The sequence below is a fragment of the Homo sapiens genome, chromosome 2 (genome assembly GCF_000001405.40).
Source record: "Homo sapiens chromosome 2, GRCh38.p14 Primary Assembly".
NCBI classification, from domain to species: domain Eukaryota; kingdom Metazoa; phylum Chordata; class Mammalia; order Primates; family Hominidae; genus Homo; species Homo sapiens.
Genome location: NC_000002.12, coordinates 135,709,854 through 135,731,772, shown reverse-complemented (window position 1 = coordinate 135,731,772; position 21,919 = coordinate 135,709,854). Strand labels below are relative to the sequence as shown.

The window sequence follows — 21,919 nt, the reverse complement described above, 5'->3', positions numbered from 1 at the left end:
CCTCAGTCTTTTTTCTATTTTCAGTGTCTTGTATTTTTTGCCAAATGAATGAGTTACTAGTGTCATTGAGGCCAAAGGTTTCCCACTACTAAGGTTCTATTTTAATTTGCACAGAGAAAAACCTACCACAAACTGAATTCTTAACTGTAGTCATTCAAAAGAAATCAAAGGGCATTTCTTACTGAAACTGGATTGGTAACATCACCTTGAAATATAAAGTCTCACATCATGCTTTAAAAAAAAAAACATTTTCTGTCCCACAGAAGCCTGTACCTGCTTACCACCAGAGAAGGCTTTATAACTTACATGTTGCAAAGCTGGTTGTATAAAAACCATGTAAAGGAAAAATATTATTGTCTGTTCTTGTTTTTTCTTGAGTGAAAGTGAGAAGTATAAAAAATGCTAAATATGGCCGGGCGCAGTGGCTCACACCTGTAATCCTGGCACTTTGGGAGGCCAAGGTGGGTGGATCATCTGAGGTCAGCAGTTTGAGACCAGCCTGGCCAACATGGTGAAACCCCATCTCTACTAAAAATACAAAAAATTAGCTAGACATGGTGGCAGGCACCTGTAATCCCAGCTACTTAGGAGGCTGTAGCAGGAGAATCACTGGAACCCAGGAGGTGGAGGTTGCAGTGAGCTGAAATCGCACCACTGCACTCCAGCCTGGGTGACAGAGCGAAACTCTCTCAAAAAAAAAAAAAAAAAAAAAAGCTTAATATGATAGATTATACAGAGCATCATCATCACTCACCTGTAGACCAGTAGGAGAATAGTTTAATTACCACATAAGGTTCATGGGTGTGCATAAAATAAAAAAAGAAGAGAAGCAGCATTTAAATAGGTTCCAGGGCCGGACGCAGTGGGTCACGCCTGTAATCCCAGTACTCTGGGAGGCCGAGGTGGGCGGATCACAAGGTCAGGAGTTTGAGACCAGCCTGGCCAACATGGAGAAACCCTGTCTCTACTAAAAATACAAAAATTAGCCGGGCATGGTGGCAGGCGCCTGTAATCCCAGCTACTTGGGAGGCTGAGGCAGGAGAATCACTTGAACCCAGGAGGCGGAGGTTGCAGTGATCCGAGATCGTGCCATTGCACTCCAGCCTGGGCGACAAGAGCAAGACTCTGTCTCTAAATAAATAAATAAATAAGTTCCAAGCTTCACTCACAACAATCAAATTTTCACATGTAAGATAGGATGGTACTCCTCTCTGGCTTCTCATAGAGATCCAGGTGAATAAGCCAAATCAAAAATGGCAACTACTGCGTTAGCAAGGCTTGAAGCAGTAATATAAATAGTTTAGCCCATGACCTCTGGAGTCAGCCTGCCTGGTTTATGAATACCACCATCACTTATTAGCTGAGACGTTAGGCAAATTTCCTCACCTCTCTGACATTTCAGTTGCCTCATTAGTAAACTAGGGTAATAATATAATTTATCCTTTAGGGCTATTGTGATGATCAATCACATAGAGACCATTGTAAGTGCTTAGCAAGTGCTTGGCACATAGTATTTAACTGCTTTCCATATGTTAGTTATTTCTGACAGCCTGCCAAAATCTTGCATATATACACATATATATACATATGTATAATATATATGTGTATATATAGATACGTGTATATATACATATATACACACATATATACATTATATATACACATATATACATATGTATGTATGTATATATATAATGTATATATGTATATATATATGCAAGATTTTGGCAGGCTGTCAGAAATAACTAATAACTAACATATGTAAAGCAGTTAAAATGTATGTATATACATATACATATATATGCCTTTCAAGATTTAAAGCAGCTGCGCACAGTGGCTCAAGCCTATAATCTCAGAATTTTGGGAGGCCGAGGTGATCACTTGAGTTCAGGAGTTTGAGATCAGCCTGGGCAACACAGTGAGACCCTGTCTCTACAAAAAATTTTAAAAAATTGGCCGGGCACAGCAGCTCATGCCTGTAATCCAGGCACTTTGGGAGGCCGAGGCGGGCGGATCACGAGGTCAGGAGATTGAGACCAGCCTGGCTAACGCAGTGAAACCCCATCTCCACTAAAAAATACAAAAAATTAGCCGGGCGTGGTGGCACTCGCCTTTAGTCCCAGCTACTCGGAAGGCTGAGGCAAGCGAATTGCTTGAATCCGTGAGGCAGAGGTTGCAGTGAGCCGAGATTGTGCCACTGCACTCTAGCCTGGGTGACAGAGTGAGACTCTGTCTCAAAAACAAAACAAAACAAACAAGAAAAACAAAAAAATTTAAGAAATTAGCCAGTGCAGTGGCTCACACCTGTAATCCCAGCTGCTTGGAAGGCTGAGATGGGAGGATTGCTTGAGCACTGGTGGTTGAGGCTGCAGTGAGCTATGATCATGCCACTGCACTCCCAGCTTGGGTGACAGAGCAAAACTCTCAAAAAAAAAAAAAAAAAAAAAAGAAAGAAAAAGAAAAAACATTCAAAGCATTTGACTCTGCCAAATCATTTGTTCATTTAATCACTGGACAAATGTTTACTGGGAAAGGCACTCGTGGTGCCAGGGATATATTAGTAAACAGAAGCAACAGACATTTTCCCTGTCCTAAAGATTACATTCTGATGGATAGAAAAACAGTAAGCAACTAATTGGCCAATTACTCATGTAATTACCATTGTGCTAAATGCTTTGAAGAGGAAGTACAGGATATTATTAGAGTTTATTACTTGCAGAAATGAGCCAGTCTGGCAGATCACCTGAAGTTAGGAGTTTGAGACCAGCCTGGCCAACGTGGTAAAACCCCATCTCTACTAAAAATACAAAAAATTAGCCGGGTGTGGTGGCGTGTGCTTGTAGTCTCAGTTAATCGGGAGGCTGAGGCAAGAGAATCGCTTGAACCTGGGAGGCAGAAGTTGCAGTGAGCCGAGATTGCACCATTGCATTCTAGCTTGGGCAACAGAGCAAGACTCTGTCTCAAAAAATAAATAAATAATTAATTAAAAAACTATTTAATGTATCTATTTCAATGCTTCCTCTTCCTCAACCCCCAAAGAACAAACTTTTATCATTTTTCTTTCTGATTCAGAAGTTCCCACTGCCTTTTCTTTACAGCCCTCCAGTATTCTTATGTGGGTGAAATCAAACCAAAATGAATACAAGTAGAGACATTGAGGGGAAAAATAATGAACAAATATGCACTGTGTAGCCTGAGCATATGTGGATGTGGGGGTGGATTCAAGGGCAGCTGTATCTGTTTTTCAAGCCGGTGAAGGTCATGGGCTGAATGTGTGTGCAAGAGACTCAGGTTCTTTTAGCACCAGCTGTTAAAGGTCTTCTAGAATCCCAAGCAACCAGGGGCCAGCTTTGAATCCCACCAGCATGTATATAATGCCTTTGTGCTAGCACTTCACTGGGCCCTAGAAGACGGAACTCATGCCCTTAGCCTTTGGAGACTATAGATAACATATTATCTGTTGGGCAGGCAGTGGTCTGGGATTAGGGGGTCTTGCCTCTGCTGAAGTCTTAAGTTTGCATGTTTTCTGTTGTTGGTAACAGGTAGAGAATCCAACTCAGCTGTTTCCTGAGGTAGCTGCAGATATGCTGACTTTACTCTGCCCAAGCTAATCTGGAACTGTGGGTTCTACTCAGAGGCCTGTGTTGCCACACTATTCACAGGCCATAAGGCCCTACCTAGTGGGGTCAGGAAAACATTTTCCTAGCTTGGGAAAGGCTCACATCCCTATTTTGTTGCCAGCTCTGATGCCAACCTAATAATTTTTAATTACCTGTGGCACCATGGCAAACACACCTTGTACTCTAGATCACAAACACGTACCCAATATATCCATGTTCTTTGCAAACCAAGAGCTTCAAACCATAAGTCATTCTCAGTTTTCTAATATTAAGTAGCATAAACAGACAGAATGTTATGGACTGACCTCTATCATTCCCAAAGAAAGGACTGCTGGAGCTGCTAATATTGGCACAAGAAAGAATAACACTTTATTGGTAAAAGTAGTATCTGGCCGGGCGGGGTGGCTCACACCTGTAATCCTAGCACTTTGGGAGGCCGAGGCGGGCGGATCACAAGGTCAGGAGATCGAGACCATCCTGGCTAACACGATGAAACCCCATCTCTACTAAAAATACAAAAAATTAGCCAGGCATGGTGGCGGGCGCCTGTAATCCCAGCTACTCGGGAGGCTGAGGCAGGAGAATGGCGTGAACCTGGGAGGTGGAGCTTGCGGGGAGCAGAGATCGCGCCACTGCACTCCAGCCTGGGCGACAGAGCAAGACTCCATCTCAAAAAAAAAAAAAAAAAAAAAAAAAAAAAAAAAAAAAAAGCAATATCTACCCCTAAAAATGGTCAGGGGTCTGGAAAAACCCATGATAAGGATTATTGCCAGGGCTATGGGACATCGAAAGCTGTCTTTGAGATTACCAGTCTAGACCAAATCACATCTTAAATGCCTCCTGTGTGTGCTTCTACCTCCCACCATTTTTATACAGGGGAAATCAGACTTTAGATTAAAAAAAAAAGGGGGGAATGTAGATTAGGGAACGTGTGCATATTTTTGTAATGGTGGTGGGATTGGCCAATTTCATTGTTATTTCCATGTGATTGTCAGGGAATGTGGTGGTGGTGGCTAGGAGTTAACTCTACAATAGCCTCTGATCTTTTTTTAGCTCTAGTGTCTTACCTATTTACTTTGCACAGTATTCAATTCCTACAAGGTAAACTAAGAGTTTAAAGCAAAAACTGGTTTACCAGAATTCCTACTGCAGGAGTTAAAGATAATTTTTTTTTTTTTGAGACGGAGTTTCGCTCTTCCGCCCAGGCTAGAGTGAAGTGGCGCAACCTCGGCTCACTGCAACCTCTGCCCCCCAGGTTCAAGTGATTCTTCTGCCTCAGCCTCCCAAGTAGCTGGGATTATATAGGCACCCCACCACCACACCCGGCTAATTTTTGTGTTTTTAGTAGAGATGGGGTTTTGCCATGTTGGCAAGGCTGGTCTCGAACTCCTGACCTCAAATGATCCGTCCGCCTCGGCCTCCCAGTGCTGGGATTATAGGCATGAGCCACCGTGCCTGGTCTAAAGGGAATATTCAAGAGAAACTAATTGCAGGCCAGGTGTAGTGGCTCATGCCTGTAATTCCAGCACTTTGGGAGGCCGAGGCGGGTGGATCACCTCAGGTCAGGAGTTCGAGATCAGCCTGGCCAATATGGCGAAACCCTGTTTCTGCTAAAAATACAAAAATTAGTGGGGCATGGTGGCAGGTGCCTGTAATCCCAGCTACTCGAGAGGCTGAGGAAGAATTGCTTGAGCCCAGGAGTCTAAGGTTGCAGTGAACTGAGATCGTGCCACTGCACTCTAGCCTGGTTGATACAGTGACTCTGGTCTCAAAAGAAAAAAAAAAAATAATTGCCAGAAACCATGAGGTTGTGACTTTTTTTTTTTTTTGAGACCGAGTCTTGCTCTGTCACCAGGCTGGAGTGCAGTGGCACGATCTTGGCTCACTGCAACCTCTGCCTCCTGGGTTCAAGCAAATCCCCCGCCTCAGCCTCCCAAGTAGCTGCGATTACAGGTGCGCACCACCATGTCCAGCTAATTTTTTTGTATTTTAGTAGAGACAATGTTTCACCATGTTGGCCAGGATGGGAGGTTGTGACTTTTTTGGTCTCCATCCCCATGTATGATTGAAGAATTGTTGCTGAAATGCTAGCCTTACTTACGTGTCCTCTCCATCTTTGACTCTCTGCATGTCAAAAATAATTAAAATTCAACAAGCCTTGGAAGCAAGAGATTTTCACAGACCTCACACTCTTACTCTTTTCCCTGGCTATGGCTCCTTAATCTAAAATGGTTCTAAGACAGCTTCAACTTTTGATCCCAGGAGTACAATATTCACAATTGGGATGTGCTAGTTGGTGGGGAGGCATGGCATTCTCTGGGACCAGTGGGACCTTGCAAATGTGCTAAAGTGAGTGCACATCTGCACCAGAGTCTGGTAACACCTAGTGCTCTTCAATTTCATAGTAGAAGCCCTAGTCTGGGCTGGAAGATAACCAGACTCCAGGAAAGCTGCAGTTGGCAGACCCCTACCTTTTAGATTTCCCAACGGGGTGACTTTGCTTGGCTAACCAAAGGGAAAAGATGTCTATAAAGCGTTTGAGCCTAAGTGGACAATTGGGTGTGCAATACATAAGCTAAAAACAAATTTATCTCACCAAACATAACCTTCTATTTTTAGTTGCCTGACAATAAGTATGTTCATACTCCAAATTTCTACAGTTGGTAATAACTTTATGATAGACAACACAGTAACACGAATCATGTCCACCAGGAATCACTGCCACAGAGAAAGGGATGTTTAGGACATTTGTAAAATGAGGTGGTTTACTGTTTTTCATCTTCTGTAAGTCTGAAATTGACTTAAATCTTCCAAAAAGGTTATTGTCTTCAAAACTGACTCATTTAAAAGGTGTTTTTAATTAAAAAAAAGACAAAGTGAGCCTATATTTGTAAACATTTATTCTCTTGAACTGAAAAAGGCTTGCATCAGCACACATTGTACAGCCTTGCAAATTACACAGAAATTGAAAAGAAGGTTCCTTGTTCATAAGTGCAATGAATCTTTGATGTCCAGTGATCCGCTGCAAACAATGAAAACAAACTGTAAAGCACTTAAGAAGTTTCCAGCACTCATCAAATGCATTTCCTTAGGTGACAAAAAATCCACAAGGAGAATGCAAATAAGTGGCATTTAGTTATTAGAGAGATACTTGAAAAAAAAAAAGTGGAAGTATTTTCCTGCTTAGAATGATTTCTGTTCCCCTTTGAATGTAAGTGGTTTAAGAGGCATTAAGAACATAATTTATTTTATACTTAATGTTCACACTACCTAAATGAATAAGGAAAGGGCCCTACAAGGAAGAGTTATGTATTTTTTGGTAATTGTTTCTGAGTTTAGAGATTCAGGGGAAGAGTAATCCTCTATTTGTGGGCTCTTCTTAGCATCCCTAACCCCCAAGGAGATAGTACATGGTTTTGACTTGGTTATTTCACTCCTGCATTCTTTTTCCCCCAAATTTTAAGTTGGGTCACATTGTGCTGGCTGCAAAAAGAAATACAGGGTGCAACTGGTTATAATCATTTTGAAGAATAATTTGCTGTACAATAGAGCTTTGGATCTGATACAAGAATTTAGAAATATAAAACAAAATAACTATAAAAGTTAGGAGGCATTTGAATGGCATTTCCTTAGAAAAACCTGCTAACTCTGTATCATTCTGATGTGGATTCCTAGTCATGTGGGGTGAAATGCATATTTTTCCCCCTTTGCTGGATCACTGGCCTTTCTTCAAAAGCTATAATGCCATGAACACACATCCTAGGAGTCTCTATAATGTTAACAGAAGCTCCAAATACCAAGCCAATCAAAGATGGGAGAGGGCAGGGGAACCATAAAGGCGAAGGGTCCAAAGGTGGCTGTTACTGAGAACTTGCCCTTTCCAAAATGTGAAAGTCATAGTGCTTCTTGCTTGTTCTCAGCTTAAACTTGTTAACTGAGTTAATTTGTTTCTTCAGTGCATTCTGTGCAGCTGAAATGGAGGGGAATGTGGCTAAGACGGTGTAGGTGGAGGCCAAGTCACTGGGTTTAGAGCGTTCAGGGTTGGCAGTGTTGTCCCCACTGCCACAGCAGAGGGGGTGACGACGTGGTTGGGACTGGGGGTCCCGGAGCCACCGGATCTTGGCGCCAATTTTAAAGAGTTCCCCAAAAAGCTTTTCAGCTTCCATGCGAGTTATTCCATCTGGTAGTTCAGTAATTTCCAAGACCTTCCCAACAACTAGAATAGAAAAGGTACAGAATCAATACATTCCTGTTACCAAAAAAGTTGGGTAAAAAAGCACTGCAGACCCAAATATGACATGGGAAATGACCATTCGAATACACAAAATTAAAACTGTTAGGGCCATCTTTTTTTTTTTTTTTTTTTTTTTTTTTGGGAGATGGAGTCTGACTCTGTCTCCCAGGCTGGAGTGCAGCGGTGTGATCTCGGCTCACTGCAACCTCCACCTCCCAGGTTCAAGCGATTCTCCTGCCTCAGCTTCCCAAGTAGCTGGGATTACAAGCGCCCGCCACCATGCCCAGCTAATTTTTTGTGTTTTCAGTAGAGACGGATGGAGTTTCACCATATTGGCCAGGCTGGTCTCGAACTCCTGAGTTCAGGCAATCCACCTGCCTCAGCCTCCCAAAGTGAGAGGATTACAGGCATGAGGCACTGCATCCGGCCAGGGACATCCATCTTTTAAATCATTCCTACTTACCCGATAGGCAAGGAATAGAGGGCTAATAGTGTTAAAGCTACTGAGCCGGGCGCACCTGTAATCCTAGTACTTTGGGAGGCTGAGGTGGGTGGATCACCTGAGGTCTGGAGTTCGAGACCAGCCTGACCAACATGGTGAAACCCCGTCTCTACTAAAAACACAAAAAATTAGCTGGGCGTGCTGGTGGGCGACTGTAATCCCAGCTACTCGGGAGGCTGAGGCAGGAGAACTGCTTGAACCTGGGAGGTGGAGGTTGCAGTGAGCTGAGACTACACCACTGCACTCCAGCATGGGCAACAAGAATGAAACTCCATCTCAAAAATAAATAAATAAATAAAAAAAATAAAATTAAGCTACTGATGTCATAGTCTTTACTGGTAGTTGCACAAATAAAAAGAGGCATTGTACAGTGGCTTCTCTAAATTAGGTGATCTCAAACATTTTTCTGAACTTCACATTTCCATTGTAAAATAAAATAAAAGCACTTGCCCTAACCACACCACAAGGCTGCTGAGTAGAAAGTTAAAATATAAACTTGAAGGTACTTTACCACAGAGAGGCAACATATTTGTTCACTCAGACTTTCTCCCACATGGATGTAAGGACAAACCCTTTCTCAAAGAACTAAGAGGCTAAGAGTTTCACTCTACTTGTTCCTCTCACACATTTCCCTGTGGCCCCTCTGTCCCTCCTAAACCTACCTGCATCTTACCATATATACTCTCACATCTCAAATGACACAAGGTCATAGGAACATATCCAAGAACCCTAAATCAGAGATGGCAAAAATTATGACTTTTTGCAGGATTCTAGGAAGAGGAAAACCCATTTCTGTGCTGTGGTGTATTTTTAGACTGTCACCAGTTTGCAGACCCACATCTAGTTGCCCCTCAGAGACATACCTGTTTCTCCTGCTCCAAGGTCTGTGGATGCAGCTTTTTTAGCTTGTCTCCTTCCTCGGTTTCCATGCCTGCTGCCAGGCTGACCCTGAAAACCCACAAATAGTTGAGAAACAACGTTAATAATGCTGAAAAACACACTTTGGATGTTTAACAAATTAACACCAAAACACCTTTAGTTTGGGTTTTGCACTCTGGCAGAAGAAAATCAGTCCCAGGCCTTCTGGATTCTGCCTGTGGCAGTGGCATTCCTGTCCTTCATTATGACCGATCACTTGCTGACGGTCCTTCATTAGCAAGAGTGCCCCAATCCCTAGCCACTGCCTTGTCTTTGGGTGGCACTAGAGAATTACTGCTCTGCCAAGCAGCACACCATCTTCTCCTTTGCTCTGCTCCTGATGGAGCCAGTGATAATCTGTGTAAACCAACTGGCTGAGGCACAGAGCTCTTCTTGGGCAGTGCCAACAGGTGGGCTCAGGGTTGCCCCTTACACTCTGAGGGAGCTATGATGTTCTGCAACAAAGCCTAGGAGGTTAGTTGTCTTTCCTACCTGTTGGTTTGGAATGTGTCCGTGCAGAACAGCAGGAGGATTGTACTGCAGTGGCTGGCCAAGTAATGGATACCTGGAATCTCCTGAAAGTCAATAAAATATTTTATTTTATTGCCAGAGGCCGGGCACGGTGGTTCATGCCTGTAATCCTAGCAATTTGGGAGGCTGAGGCAGGCGGATTACTTAAGGCCAGGAGTTCGAGACCAGCCTGGCCAACATGGTGAAACCCCATCTCTAATAAAAATATAAAAATTAGCCAGGCCTGGTGGTGGGCGCCTGTAATTCTAGCTACTCAGGAGGCTGAGGCATGAGAACTGCTTGAACTTGGGAGGTAGAGGTTGCAGTGAGCTGAGATGGCGCCACTATATTCCAGACTGGGTGACGGAGTGAGAGACTGTCTCAAAAAAATAAAAAATAAAATAAAACAAAAAGTACTTGCCAGAGTTTTCTAATTGTTCAAAATAAGATGAACAGGGGAAACAAGTATGGTGGCATAAAAAAAGTATAGATAACTGACATTTTTCTTTTGGAGACAGGGTACTGCTCTGTTGACAACCCAGGCTGGAGTGCAGTGGTGCAATCATAGCTCACTGCAGCCTTGAACTCCTGGGTTCAAGTGATCTTCCTGCCTCAGCCTCACAAGTAGCTGGGACTACAAGCACAAACTACCATGCCTGGCTAATTTTATTTTAGTAGAGATAGAGTCTCACTATGTTGACCAGGCTGGTCTCAAACTCCTGGCCTCCAGCAATCCTTCCACCTCATGAGTTGCTGGGATTACAGGTACAAGCCACCATGCTTGGCTAAATGACATTTTAAACAAGAATTAAAAATTTCCACATATCCTTTTAAGAGCCCAGGCAAAATTCTGAAAAGATTAAGGACTAATAACAGTGGTTAGGAAGGAGGGTGCATGGTAGGAACTACATGAATAGAGACAGGATGGAGAGAAACTTCTCTGGATACTTTGAAGATATGGAAGAGGAAGAATCTAAGAAAACTATGACACTAAATCCTAACATCCCGTATGAAATACACCAAAATAACTACAATACACATGCCAATCATTTGAGGTGCTGAAATCCATATCACTCTATTATGATTAAAATCTTACCTTTCAGAGGAAGGAAGAAACTCTGGATAAACATTAAGTTTTTATCTCCCCAATTCACTATTAATTGCTAAAAATTTATGCATATAATATATGCATGTACACATTTACATATACTCAAACACACTTTAATAGTTTTAACCAATGGGTAGTTGTACATCCTAGGTCTTAAGTCTGCTCTTCTTAATCTTTAAGTGAAATTTGCATTTATAATTTGAACCTGTTCAGAAAAAGTTGTGTAGTTCTTAAGTGTCATTATTCGTAAGTATTCCCTTCCTAAATCAGTAAATGTGGGTTAATGAGGATGGAGATCTTCCAATTGCTTTCTATCACTCAGGAAAGCCTGAAGTCATCACACGGCAAAGGCTTAATAAATGCTGACTGCAAAAACTTTGTCTTGGATAATAAGGTTTTTGTGTTACATTTTCATTTATTTTAAGTTCTCAAATTTAGTACATTTTGTGTTTGGAGGAGGGTTATCAGTAGGTGCTAGGAAAGCATCCTCAGGAAACTGTACACCCCTTCTCCTGAGAGCTTCATAACAGAAAGCAGCAAGGTGTGGACTTCTTGCCATTCCACAAGGCTCCTTCCGGGTGAACACAGTGAAGATGCCTGGGCAGCTCCCTGGCAGGACATATGCATGACATACTCTTTCCCAACCTATAGATGGAAGGGCAGATATGACATGGGGGTTTAGCACTGAGATCAGAGATGCAAAGTGAAGTGTGAAGGTGTATAAAAAATAGTTGTGAAGGCCGGGCGCGGTGGCTCACGCCTGTAATTCCAGCACTTTGGGAGGCCGAGACGGGCGGATCATGAGGTCAGAGTTCGAGATCAGCCTGGCCAACATGGTGAAACCCCGTCTCTCCTAAAAACACAAAAAATTAGCCAGGCGTATGGCACATGCCTGTAATCCCAGCTACTTGGGAGGCTGAGGCAGGAGAATAGCTTGAACTCTGGAGGTGGAGGTTGCAGTGAGCCAAGATCATGCCATTGCACTCCAGCCTGGGCAACAGGGCGAGACTCCGTCTCGAAACAAAAAAAAAAAAGAAAAGAAAATAGTTGTAAAGAAGTCAGAGTTAAGTGCTACAATAATGAAATTTTAAAAATTTAATGAGGCTCAAAAACTTAGCATTAACAGAATACAGAGAACATTGCTTAAAAATTCTGGAATCCCCTAGATAAAGACACCTAAGATTTTTCAACAAAAGATAAAACCTTTTAATTCTACAAAATTTCAAGTATATAAAAGTATAGATAGAAACGCATAATGTACCTATCATCCAGGTTCAACTGTGATCACCCCTGCTTTGTTTTTCCTGAAGTATTTAAAGCAAATCTCAGCATTTTACTTGTAAATATTTCAGTATACAAACATTTATATCTAATGGATAACTCCTTTTTTTTTTTTAATTTTTGAGACAGAGTCTTGCTCTGTCACACAGGCTGGAGTGCAGTGGCACCATCTCTGCTCACTGCAACCTCTGCCTCCCAGGTTCAAGCGATTCTCTTGCCTCAGCTTCCTAAGTAGCTGGGATTACAGGTGCCCACCACCATGTCCAGCTAATTTTTTTCAAATATGGAGATAAGATTATAGTCAGCAGTACAAAGACCCCTCCTAATAGGCTGGGCTAGGTGTTCCTCCTGCGGCATTCATACCAGACTGTATGACGCATACTGTTTCAATTTATTTTTTTAAAATATGCAATTTCTAAATTAATTAATTAATTAATTAAATTATTTATTTAGCGATGGAGTCTTGCTCTGTCGCCCAGGCTGGAGTGCAGTGGCACAATCTTGGCTCACTGCAACCTTTGCCTCTCGGGTTCAAGCGATTCTCCTGCCTCAGCCTCCTGAGTAGCTGAGATTACAGGCGTGCGCCACCATGCCCGGCTAATTTTTTTTTGTATTTTTAATGGAGACGGGGTTTCACCATGTTTCAGGCTGGTCTCAAACTCGTGACCTCCTGATCCACCCACCTCAGCCTCCCAAAGGGCTGGGATTACAGGTGTGAGCCACTGCGCATAGCCTTTTTTCTAAATTTAATAAGGAATTTGTTTTGTAGAAAATTTGGAGATAGAGAATTACGAAGGAGAAAATAAAAACCACCCTGGTGCTGGGTGTAGTGGCTGACATTTGTAATCGCAGCACTTTGGGAGGCCAAGGTGGGGAGACTGCTTGAGCCAAGGAGTTCGAGACTAGCCTGGGCAACATGGTGAAACCCTGTCTCTACCGAAAATACAAAAATTAGCCAGGTGTGGTGGTGTGCCTGTAAGCCCAGTTACTCAGGAGGTTGAGGTGGGAGGATCATCTGAGCCCGGGGAGGTTAAGGCTGTAGCGAGCCACAAGTGCACCACTGCACTGCAGCCTGGGCGATGGAATAAGACAGTGTCTCAAAACAAACAACAACAAACAAACCAACATCAACAAAACCCACTCTGGTAATTCCATCACTTCTAACATTTTGGTGTCTATCTTTTCAGTCTTCTACATGTGTGGGCTGACTCATGCATATGTGTGTGTGTAAGTTTTTAAGGAAATTGAGATATAATTAACATACAATACAATCAATAAAATAAACATTCTAAGTGTTGAATCTGATGAATTCTAACAACTGTAAAAGTCCGTGTAACCATACCCTGTTCCCCCACCCCCTTAAAGAACATTTCCATCCCTGGAAGAGTTCCCTCCAGTCCCTTCCCAGTCAGTTCCACACCCCATCTCTACTACTATCTGATTTTTAACATAACAGATTAGTTTGTCTGCAGCTGGATTTCATATAATTAGAATCATATAGAATATATTCTCTTTTTGTCTTATTTTTTGGTTAACGTCGTGACCCGGAGAGTCATCATGTTGTTGTGTGTCAGTAGCTTGCTTTGTTCACTTTTATTGTTGCGTAGTACCCTTTTAAGGATATAGCACAACTTGTTTGGGTATCCAGTCTCCTGTTGATGGACATGTTGGTCATGTCCAGTTTGAGCTATTATAAAATAAGGTTGCTATAGATGTTCGTACACAAGACTATGTGAACATGTTTTCAATTCTCTTTCCCCCAGGAGTGGAATTGCTGGGTTATGTGGTAAATGATTAAAGTCTTAGGAAACTGCCATACCTTTTCCTAAAGCGGTTTCATCACTGTACACTCTTACCGCCAATGTGTGAGAATTTTAGTAGCTCTGTATCTTTACCAACATTATTTTTTAAATACTCACATGTGGATTTTGCATGTTGTGGGGGTTTGGTGTACTTATTATTTTATCACCCAGGTAATAAGCATAGTACCCAATAGGTATTTTTCAATCCTCACCCTTTCCCCTCAAGTAGACCCAAGTGTCTATTGTTCCCTTCTTTGTGTTCATCAATGTTTAGCTCCCACTTTCAAGGGAGAACATTCTTCTTTTTTTTTTTGAGATGCAGTGTCAATCTTGTTGCCCAGGCTGGAGTGCAGTGGTGCGATCTTGGCTCACTGCAACCTCTGCCTCCCGAGTTCAAGCAATTCTCCTGCCTTAGCCTCCCAAGTAGCTGTGATTATAGGCATGTGCCACTGTGCCCGGCTAATTTTTGTATTTTTAGTAGAGATGGGGTTTCACTATGTTGGCCAGGTTGGTCTCGAACTCCTGACCTCAAGTGATCTACCCACCTCAGCCTCCCGAAGTGCTGAGATTACAGGCGTGAGCCACCATGCCTGGCAAGTGAGAACATTCTTTACTAACATTTGGTGTTGTCCGTCTTTTTGATTATAGCCATTCTAATGGGTGTGAAGTGGTATTCTGGCTTGATATTCATTTCTATAATGACTGATGTTAAATATCTTTTCAAGGGCTTATTAGACATCTGCATACTACTTCAAAATGTCTGTGTAACTTGTTTTTCAAAATCACTTACCATATTGTGAATACTGCTCCCCGTGTTTGTTTGTTTTTTTGTTTGTTTTTTGTTTTGAGACGGAGCCTCTCTCTGTCGCCCAGGCTGGAGTGCAGTGGCACGATCTTGGCTCACTGCAGCCTCTGCCGCCCAGGTTCAAGTGATTCTCCTGCTTCAGCCTCCCGAGTAGCTGGGATTATAGGTGCCTGCCACCACGCCCAGCTTGTTTTTGTAGTTTTAGTAGAGACAGGGTTTCACTGTCTTGGCCAGGCTGGTCTTGAACTCCTAACCTTGTGATCCACCTGCCTGGGCCTCCCAAAGTGCTGGGATTACAGGTGTGAGCCACCGCACCTAGCCTGAATATTGCCCCCTTTTAGTGATTCTTTAGATAGCTACATAATATTCCTTGTATGAATATACCATAATTTAAGTATTCCTCATTGATGTACAGAGTTAGGTTGTTTGTAAATTTTTTTTGCTATAGGATAAACTCTTCTGTATATAAATCTTTGTGTGCATTATCCTTAGGATAAATTCTAGGAAATAAAATGGTTTCCATATTAGTTTATAATCATCTGCTTGCATATCTGCTCCCCAAAGTAGACTAAGGGTTAGTGAGGGTGAGGACTTCTCCTTATTCATCTTTATACACCAAGGGCATAGCCATTTCCTTAATAAATGATTGCTGAATAAATTTTTGGATAATCTCTTTTTTCTGTTTTATTTTTGAGACAAGAGTCTTGCTCTGCTGTCCATGCTGGAATGCAGTGGCATAATCAGAGCTCACTGCAGTCTTAAATTCCTGGGCTGAAGTGATCCTCCCGCTTCAGCCTCCTGAGTAGCTGTGACTACAGTCATGTGCCACCACTTCTGGCTGATTTTTGTAGTTTCTCTAGAGACAGGGTCTTGAGTGGCCTCAAGTGATCCTTCCGCATTGGCCTCCCAAAGTGCTGGGATTGCAGGCGTAAGCCACTGCGCCCGGCCTGGATAAACTTTTGATATATATTACTCTAAGTAGAAATTAAAATACCGAAAAAATGTAGAAAACTGTGTATTATTACTATAGAGGAATGGATTCTAAGAATAAGTTAAAGTGATTTTAATGTGATCATGTAATTACTAAACAGAAGTAATTACTGAATTAATAATTATTAATTAGCAATGATACATTAAGGTTAGGAGGGTATATGGTCACAAATAGACATGCCTGAGTGTAGGTGAAGATGCAGCTCTATGGAAAATAGAAAGGCAATATTACCAAGATAAATTACCAAGTGACTGGGAATGGATGTCTTAAATTCTCTGAAGTTGTGACTAGTTTCATGTGCACTTACCTTGCCCGGGGACAAAAGGTCTAGAAAATTGGGGCATGATGGAAAGTGGTGGTCCAGAGGGACGTACAGTTTTCAGGGTGGACAGCTGAGCTGGTGCTGGCGACTGAGCTGGTGAAATAATGGGGCTACTGAGTTGAGGGCTGTGCTGCAATTACAATACGTCAAGAAAATGGGTCAGCATTTTGGGCAGGCTTATTTTTTATTCTTCCTGATTACATATACGTACTTGTTAGAAAATAATTCAAACATTATAGAAGCATGTGATCTGCAACTCCCCAAAATAAACACTGGTAACAGATGGTTTCTTTTTTTTCTTTTTTTTTGAGACGGAGTCTCACTCTGTTGCCCAGGCTGGAGTGCAGTGGCGCAATCACAGCTCACTGCAAGCTCTGCCTCCCAGGTTCACGCCATTCTCCCGCCTCAGCCTCCTGAGCCTCCTGCCTCAGTCCCAGCCTGTAGCTGGGACTACAGGCACCCGCCACCATGCCCAGCTAATTTTTTGTATTTTTAGTAGAGATGAGGTTTCCCTGTGTTAGCCAGGATGTTCTCGATCTCCTGACCTTGTGATCCGCCTGGCTCAGCCTCCCTAAGTGCTGGAATTACAGGCGTGAGCCATCGCACCTGGCCAACAGATTGTTTCTATGCACATGCATTCATACATCCATTTTTCACAAAAATGGGAACAGACTATACATCCTACTTTCAAAACTTGCTTTTGTACCTTGGCAATAATATTGCCGATACTTTTGCATGAGAGAATACATACAGCGAACTCACTCTTTTTTCATATTAAATACTGTAACATTTCATATTTAAATAATTTCATTAGAGAATAGTTCCTAAGATTGTAAAAGAATTCCCAGATTTCCCAAATGATCTTAACTTTTATTACACTGCTTTCTCTGTGTGTGTGTGTGTGTGTGTGTGTGTATACACCCATATATATACATATATATCACTGTGTTTTTTGGAACTGTTTGAAAGTGAATTTCACATGATATTCCTTTAACCCAAAATAATTAGTGTCTATTTCCTAACAACAAGGACTTTTATAATATAATCAAAGTAGAATAAAAGCCAGAAAATTAACAATACAATAGTATTATCTAATCTACAGTTAATTTAAATTTTGCCAAGTGTCCCACTAATGTCCCTTATAGCAAAAGATAAGAAAAATGTTTCCCTTCAAGTCCAGAATCCAGACTAGAATCAAGGGCTGCATTTTGTTGTCATGGCTCTTTAATCTTCTTTAATCTGAAGCAGAACAGCACAGTCTCTTCTTTCTTTCATGACTTTGACATTTCTGAAGATTTGTTTTGGAAGATCAGTTATTTTGTAGACTGTCCCTCAATTTGGGTTTGTCTGCTGTCTCCTCATTAAAAAGTTCATGTTATATATTTGGGAAAGGAACACCAGAGAAGTAATGTGTCCTTCTCAATGGATCACATCAGAAGGAACCTGACGTCTATCTCTCATCACAGTATTGGTGATATTTACTTCGACTGCTTTGTTAACATGGTGCCTATCAGGTTTCTCCACTGTAAATTACAATTTTTTTCCTTTGTAGTTTTAAGTATCTTGTAGGGAGATACTTTAAAAAAAAATTATGCTTTTCCTCAGAATTTCACCCACTAGTTTTGTAGCCTCTAGTGGTGACTCTTGCCTGATGGTTTTCTTGGTGGTGATCTTTTAATTTCACGATTCTACATTTATCACTTTATATTACACTAAGGTAAGACAGTTTCATTTTCCATTTATTGATTTTTATCAGTATGGACTCATGAATTCTTATTTTATTCTATGGATGATCATTCATTTCTATCATTGTTTTATGCCCCAAACCTCCACTCCTGATCCTGTATTCTTCAAGACGTCCCTATTTTTCTTCCATCCCTTCCTTACTTTCTGGCATAGCCAAGATGGCCTACACCCATCTGGTACTTTCCCTGCACCAACTCTGGCAACAGTTATTTTTCTAAGGAGCCCTAGTTCCTTTTAATGGAGACTGGTTATTTACAAACTACCATTTCAATAGTAGGTTTATCTTATTCTTTTCAGTATTACACACTTAAGGGCATTTTCCTAAATGGCACAGTAATAATCAGTTACCCACTGGTGAATGTCAAGACTGTTCACAGTTTTTCAATATTACAACAGGAAAAAAGAAATATTGTACACATATTTTTGCACTTATTATTTAATTTTTACTGGGTAAAGTTCCAGAAGCATATCTGTGGATCAAATTCTACATTTTGAAAAATGTCTCCAAAGTGCATTCCAAAGAGCTGTACCAATTTACACTACCACAAAGAGAGTCCCAGAGCTTATAACTTGATCTTTGCCAAACTATTACTACGGCAGATTATTGGTCTTCCTGAATTTTCCCAATTATATAGATGAAAAGTAGTTTTATATTTTCATCTGTTTAATGGCCATTGGTAGTTTGTGAGCTGATCTGTAATAACCTTTGTTCCCCCTCCTTTTGTTTTTTTTGAGACAGGGTCTCACTCTGTTACCTAGGCTGGAGTACAGTAGTGTGATCACAGCTCACTGCAGCCTCTACCACTCAGGGTCAAGCAATCCTCCTGGTTCAGCCTCCCAAGTAACTAGCGCTACAGGTGTATACCACCACACCTGGCTAATTTTTAATTTTTTTATAGAGATGGAATCTCATTATGTTGTCTAGGCTGCTCTTGAACTCCTGGACTCAAGTGATCCTTTCTCCTTGGCCTCCCAAAGTGCTGGGATTTTTTTTATTTTTATTTATTTTTTTTGAGACGGAGTCTTGCTCTGTTGCCCAGGCTGGAGTGCAGTGGGGCGATCTTGGCTCACTGCAAGCTCCGCCTCCCAGGTTCACGCCATTCTCCTGCCTCAGCCTCCCAAGTAGCTGGGACTACAGGCGCCCACCACCACGCCCAGCTAATTTTTTGTATTTTTAGTAGAGACGGGGTTTCACCATGTTAACCAGGATGGTCTCGATCTCCTGATCTCGTAATCCTCCCACCTCGGCCTCCCAAAGTGCTAGGATTACAGGCGTGAGCCATCGTGCCCGGCCGGAAGTGCTGGGATTACAGTCGTAAGCCACCATGCCCAACCTGTATCTTTTAAAAAAAGTTAAAACCTGGCTGGGTAAAGCGGCTCAAGCCTATGATCCCAGCACTTTGGGAGGCTGAGCCAGGTGGACCGCTTGAGCTCAGGAATTTGAGACTAGCCTGGGCAACACGGCAATACCCCATCTCTATAAAAAAAAAAAAAAAAAAAAAAAATTAGTTGGGCATGGTGGTGTGCATGCGGTCTCAGCTACTCAAGTGGCTGAGGTGGGAGGATGGCTTGAGCCCAGGAGATGGAAGCTGCAGTAGGCCCAGAACATGCCACTGCACTCCAGCCTAGGTAACAGAGCCAGACCCTGTCTCTAAATGATGAGCCCAGGAGGTTGAGGCTGCAGTAAGCTGTGACTGTGCAAATGCAGTCCAGCCTGGTGTCAGAGGGTAACCTTTTCTCAACAAAAGATAAAACCTTTTAATTCTATAAAATTTCAAGTATATAAAAGTATAGATAGAAAAGCATAATGAAATTCCATGTACCCATCATCCAGGTTCAACTGTGATCGCCCTGGCTTTGTTTTTCCTGAAGTATTTAAAGCAAATCTCAGCATTTTACTTGTAAATATTTCAGTATACAAACATTTATATCTAACGGACAACTCTTTTTTTTTTTTTTTTTTTTTTTTTAATTTTAGACAGAGTCTCGCTCTGTCACCCAGGCTGGAGTGCAAGGGCACGATCTCAGATCACTGCAACCTCTGCCTCCTGGGTTCAAGCAATTCTACTGCCTCAGCTTCCTGAGTAGCTGAGATTACAGGTGCCCGCCACCACGTCCAGCTAAGTTTTGTATTTTTAGTAGAGACGGGGTTTCTCCATGTTGGCCAGGCTGGTCTCAAACTCCTGACCTCAGGTGATCTGCCCGCTTTGGCCTCCCAAAGTGCTGGGATTATAGGCATGAGCCACTGTGCCTGGGTTTTTTTTTTTTTTTCAAAGAGTTGGGGTCTCCCTCTGTTGCTAGGGGGCAGCGCAGTGGCATGATCATAGCTCACTGCAGCCTTGAACTCCTGGGATAAAGCAATCTTGCCTCAGCCTCCTGAGTGGCTGGGACTACAGGTGCACACTGCCATGGCCGAATAATTTTTTGTATTTTTTATAGAGACAGGGTTTCACCATGTTACCCAGGCTGGTCTCGAACTCCTGCGTTCCAGGTCTGCCTTAGCTTCCCAAAGTGCTGGGATTACAGGCATGAGCCACTGCGCCTGGCCTTAAAAAATGTCTTTTGATCATTCAATATCCAAATAAGATCCATACATTATATCTGATATTATACCTCTTGAGTCTCTTTTAATGTATAACAGACCAAGCTCCTATTTCAAAATGCCATCTATTCAAGTAACAGGGCCAATTTGTCAAGTAAAATGTCCCACTGGTATCAGGTATCAGGTAATTTGTTTTTGTTTCTTCTTATATTTCCCATAAACTAGTAGCTAGGGTTAGAGGCTTGAATAGATTCAAATTTCGGTAAGAGTATATCATAAGTAATGCTGTGTACTTCCTTCTATACCACATGAAGAGGTAAATAATGTTTGGCTGGCCCACTTTTAGTGATGTTACAACTGATCAGTGGATTCAGGGCTGTCTCTCTAATTCATCCATTTAAAATACCTCTCAAAATTTTTTTTTAAAGTGAGCAGTTTCTCAACCAAAACTTTTTAATCTAATATTTTTAGGATCTGCTGATGATTTTCTGGCAATTTTCTAATTCTACCATTGCTTCTGCATTTATTAACTGGATTATTCTACAGAGAACATTCCCTTATCAACTATTTGGTTACATTAATATATAGTCATATGGGAAAGGTAGGATAAATGCTTATTTTTCTTCACCAAATTTTAGATCTAGTTTATCTTTTTAAGTTAGAAAACACTTTTTTGAATACGCAGAAGTTAGCAAATAATATTTAAACACTGATTCTTTTTTTCCTCCGTCTTTTTTTTTTGAGACAGAGTTACACTCTTGTTGCCCAGGCTGGAGTGCAATGGCACGATCTTGGCTCACTACAACCTCCACTCACCTGGGTTCAGGCGATTCTCCTGCCTCAGCCTCCTGAGTAGCTGGGATGCATGCTACCACCATACCCGGCTGATTTTGTATTTTTGCATGTGCCACTACACCCAGCTGATTTTGTATTTTTAGTAGAGATGGGATTTCACCATGTTGGTCAGGCTGGTCTGAAACTGGGTGATCCCCGTGCCTCAGCCTCCCAAAAAGTGCTGGGATTACAGGGGAGAGCCACCGCGCCTGGCCCAAATTCTTTTATTAATCTGGCTGACGGGATTTCAAATTCAAGCCTTATAAGTCAATCTTAGGTAACAAAAATGTAACGTTTCAAAATGATAATGAACAAAACCATCTTACCTGGACAATATTGTCTACACTGCTAAATTCTACACACTTCTGTCCTCTCTGGTGATCACAGTAATATTTGTTTTGTTTCCACTGCGGGGGTGAGTGGGCACAAGATTGTGGATTGTTTGGTACACTGAGCTGCATCATCACCATCCCCCCACCAGGTGGCGGTGGTGGTCCAGCTGAAAATCAGAATTTAGGATGCTATAGTCAGAATATTTTAGCAACTAGTTGGTGTTTCTGAACACTAGGATAACAGTAGTAATTTTACATTTCTGAATAAAATTTTACTATTAACTAAGAAAACCAGGTTGAAGCCCTAGTGCATCACACTACAAGTATTGTGTGTTTAAACAGGCATTAAGATGGACTCTGTAGGCCTAAACA

The 21,919-nt window shown here is 41.9% G+C and overlaps 1 protein-coding gene across 7 annotated transcripts in view; it reads right to left on the bottom strand.

The window, feature by feature from the left end:
• Positions 1-6,503: 6,503 nt before the first annotated feature.
• R3HDM1 (R3H domain containing 1) overlaps positions 6,504-21,919 on the bottom strand; it is a 193,786-nt gene continuing 178,370 nt past the window's right edge. For all 7 annotated transcript variants that reach the window (NM_001378107.1, NM_001354200.2, NM_015361.4 and 4 more), the window contains 5 exons: positions 21,542-21,714; positions 16,079-16,223; positions 9,767-9,849; positions 9,220-9,304; positions 6,504-7,836 (listed from right to left, as the gene is read on the bottom strand). In NM_001378107.1, the coding sequence (NP_001365036.1) occupies positions 7,481-7,836; positions 9,220-9,304; positions 9,767-9,849; positions 16,079-16,223; positions 21,542-21,714 (842 nt within the window). In that variant the 3' untranslated portion in view covers positions 6,504-7,480. The remainder of the gene's footprint in view (positions 7,837-9,219; positions 9,305-9,766; positions 9,850-16,078; positions 16,224-21,541; positions 21,715-21,919) is intronic.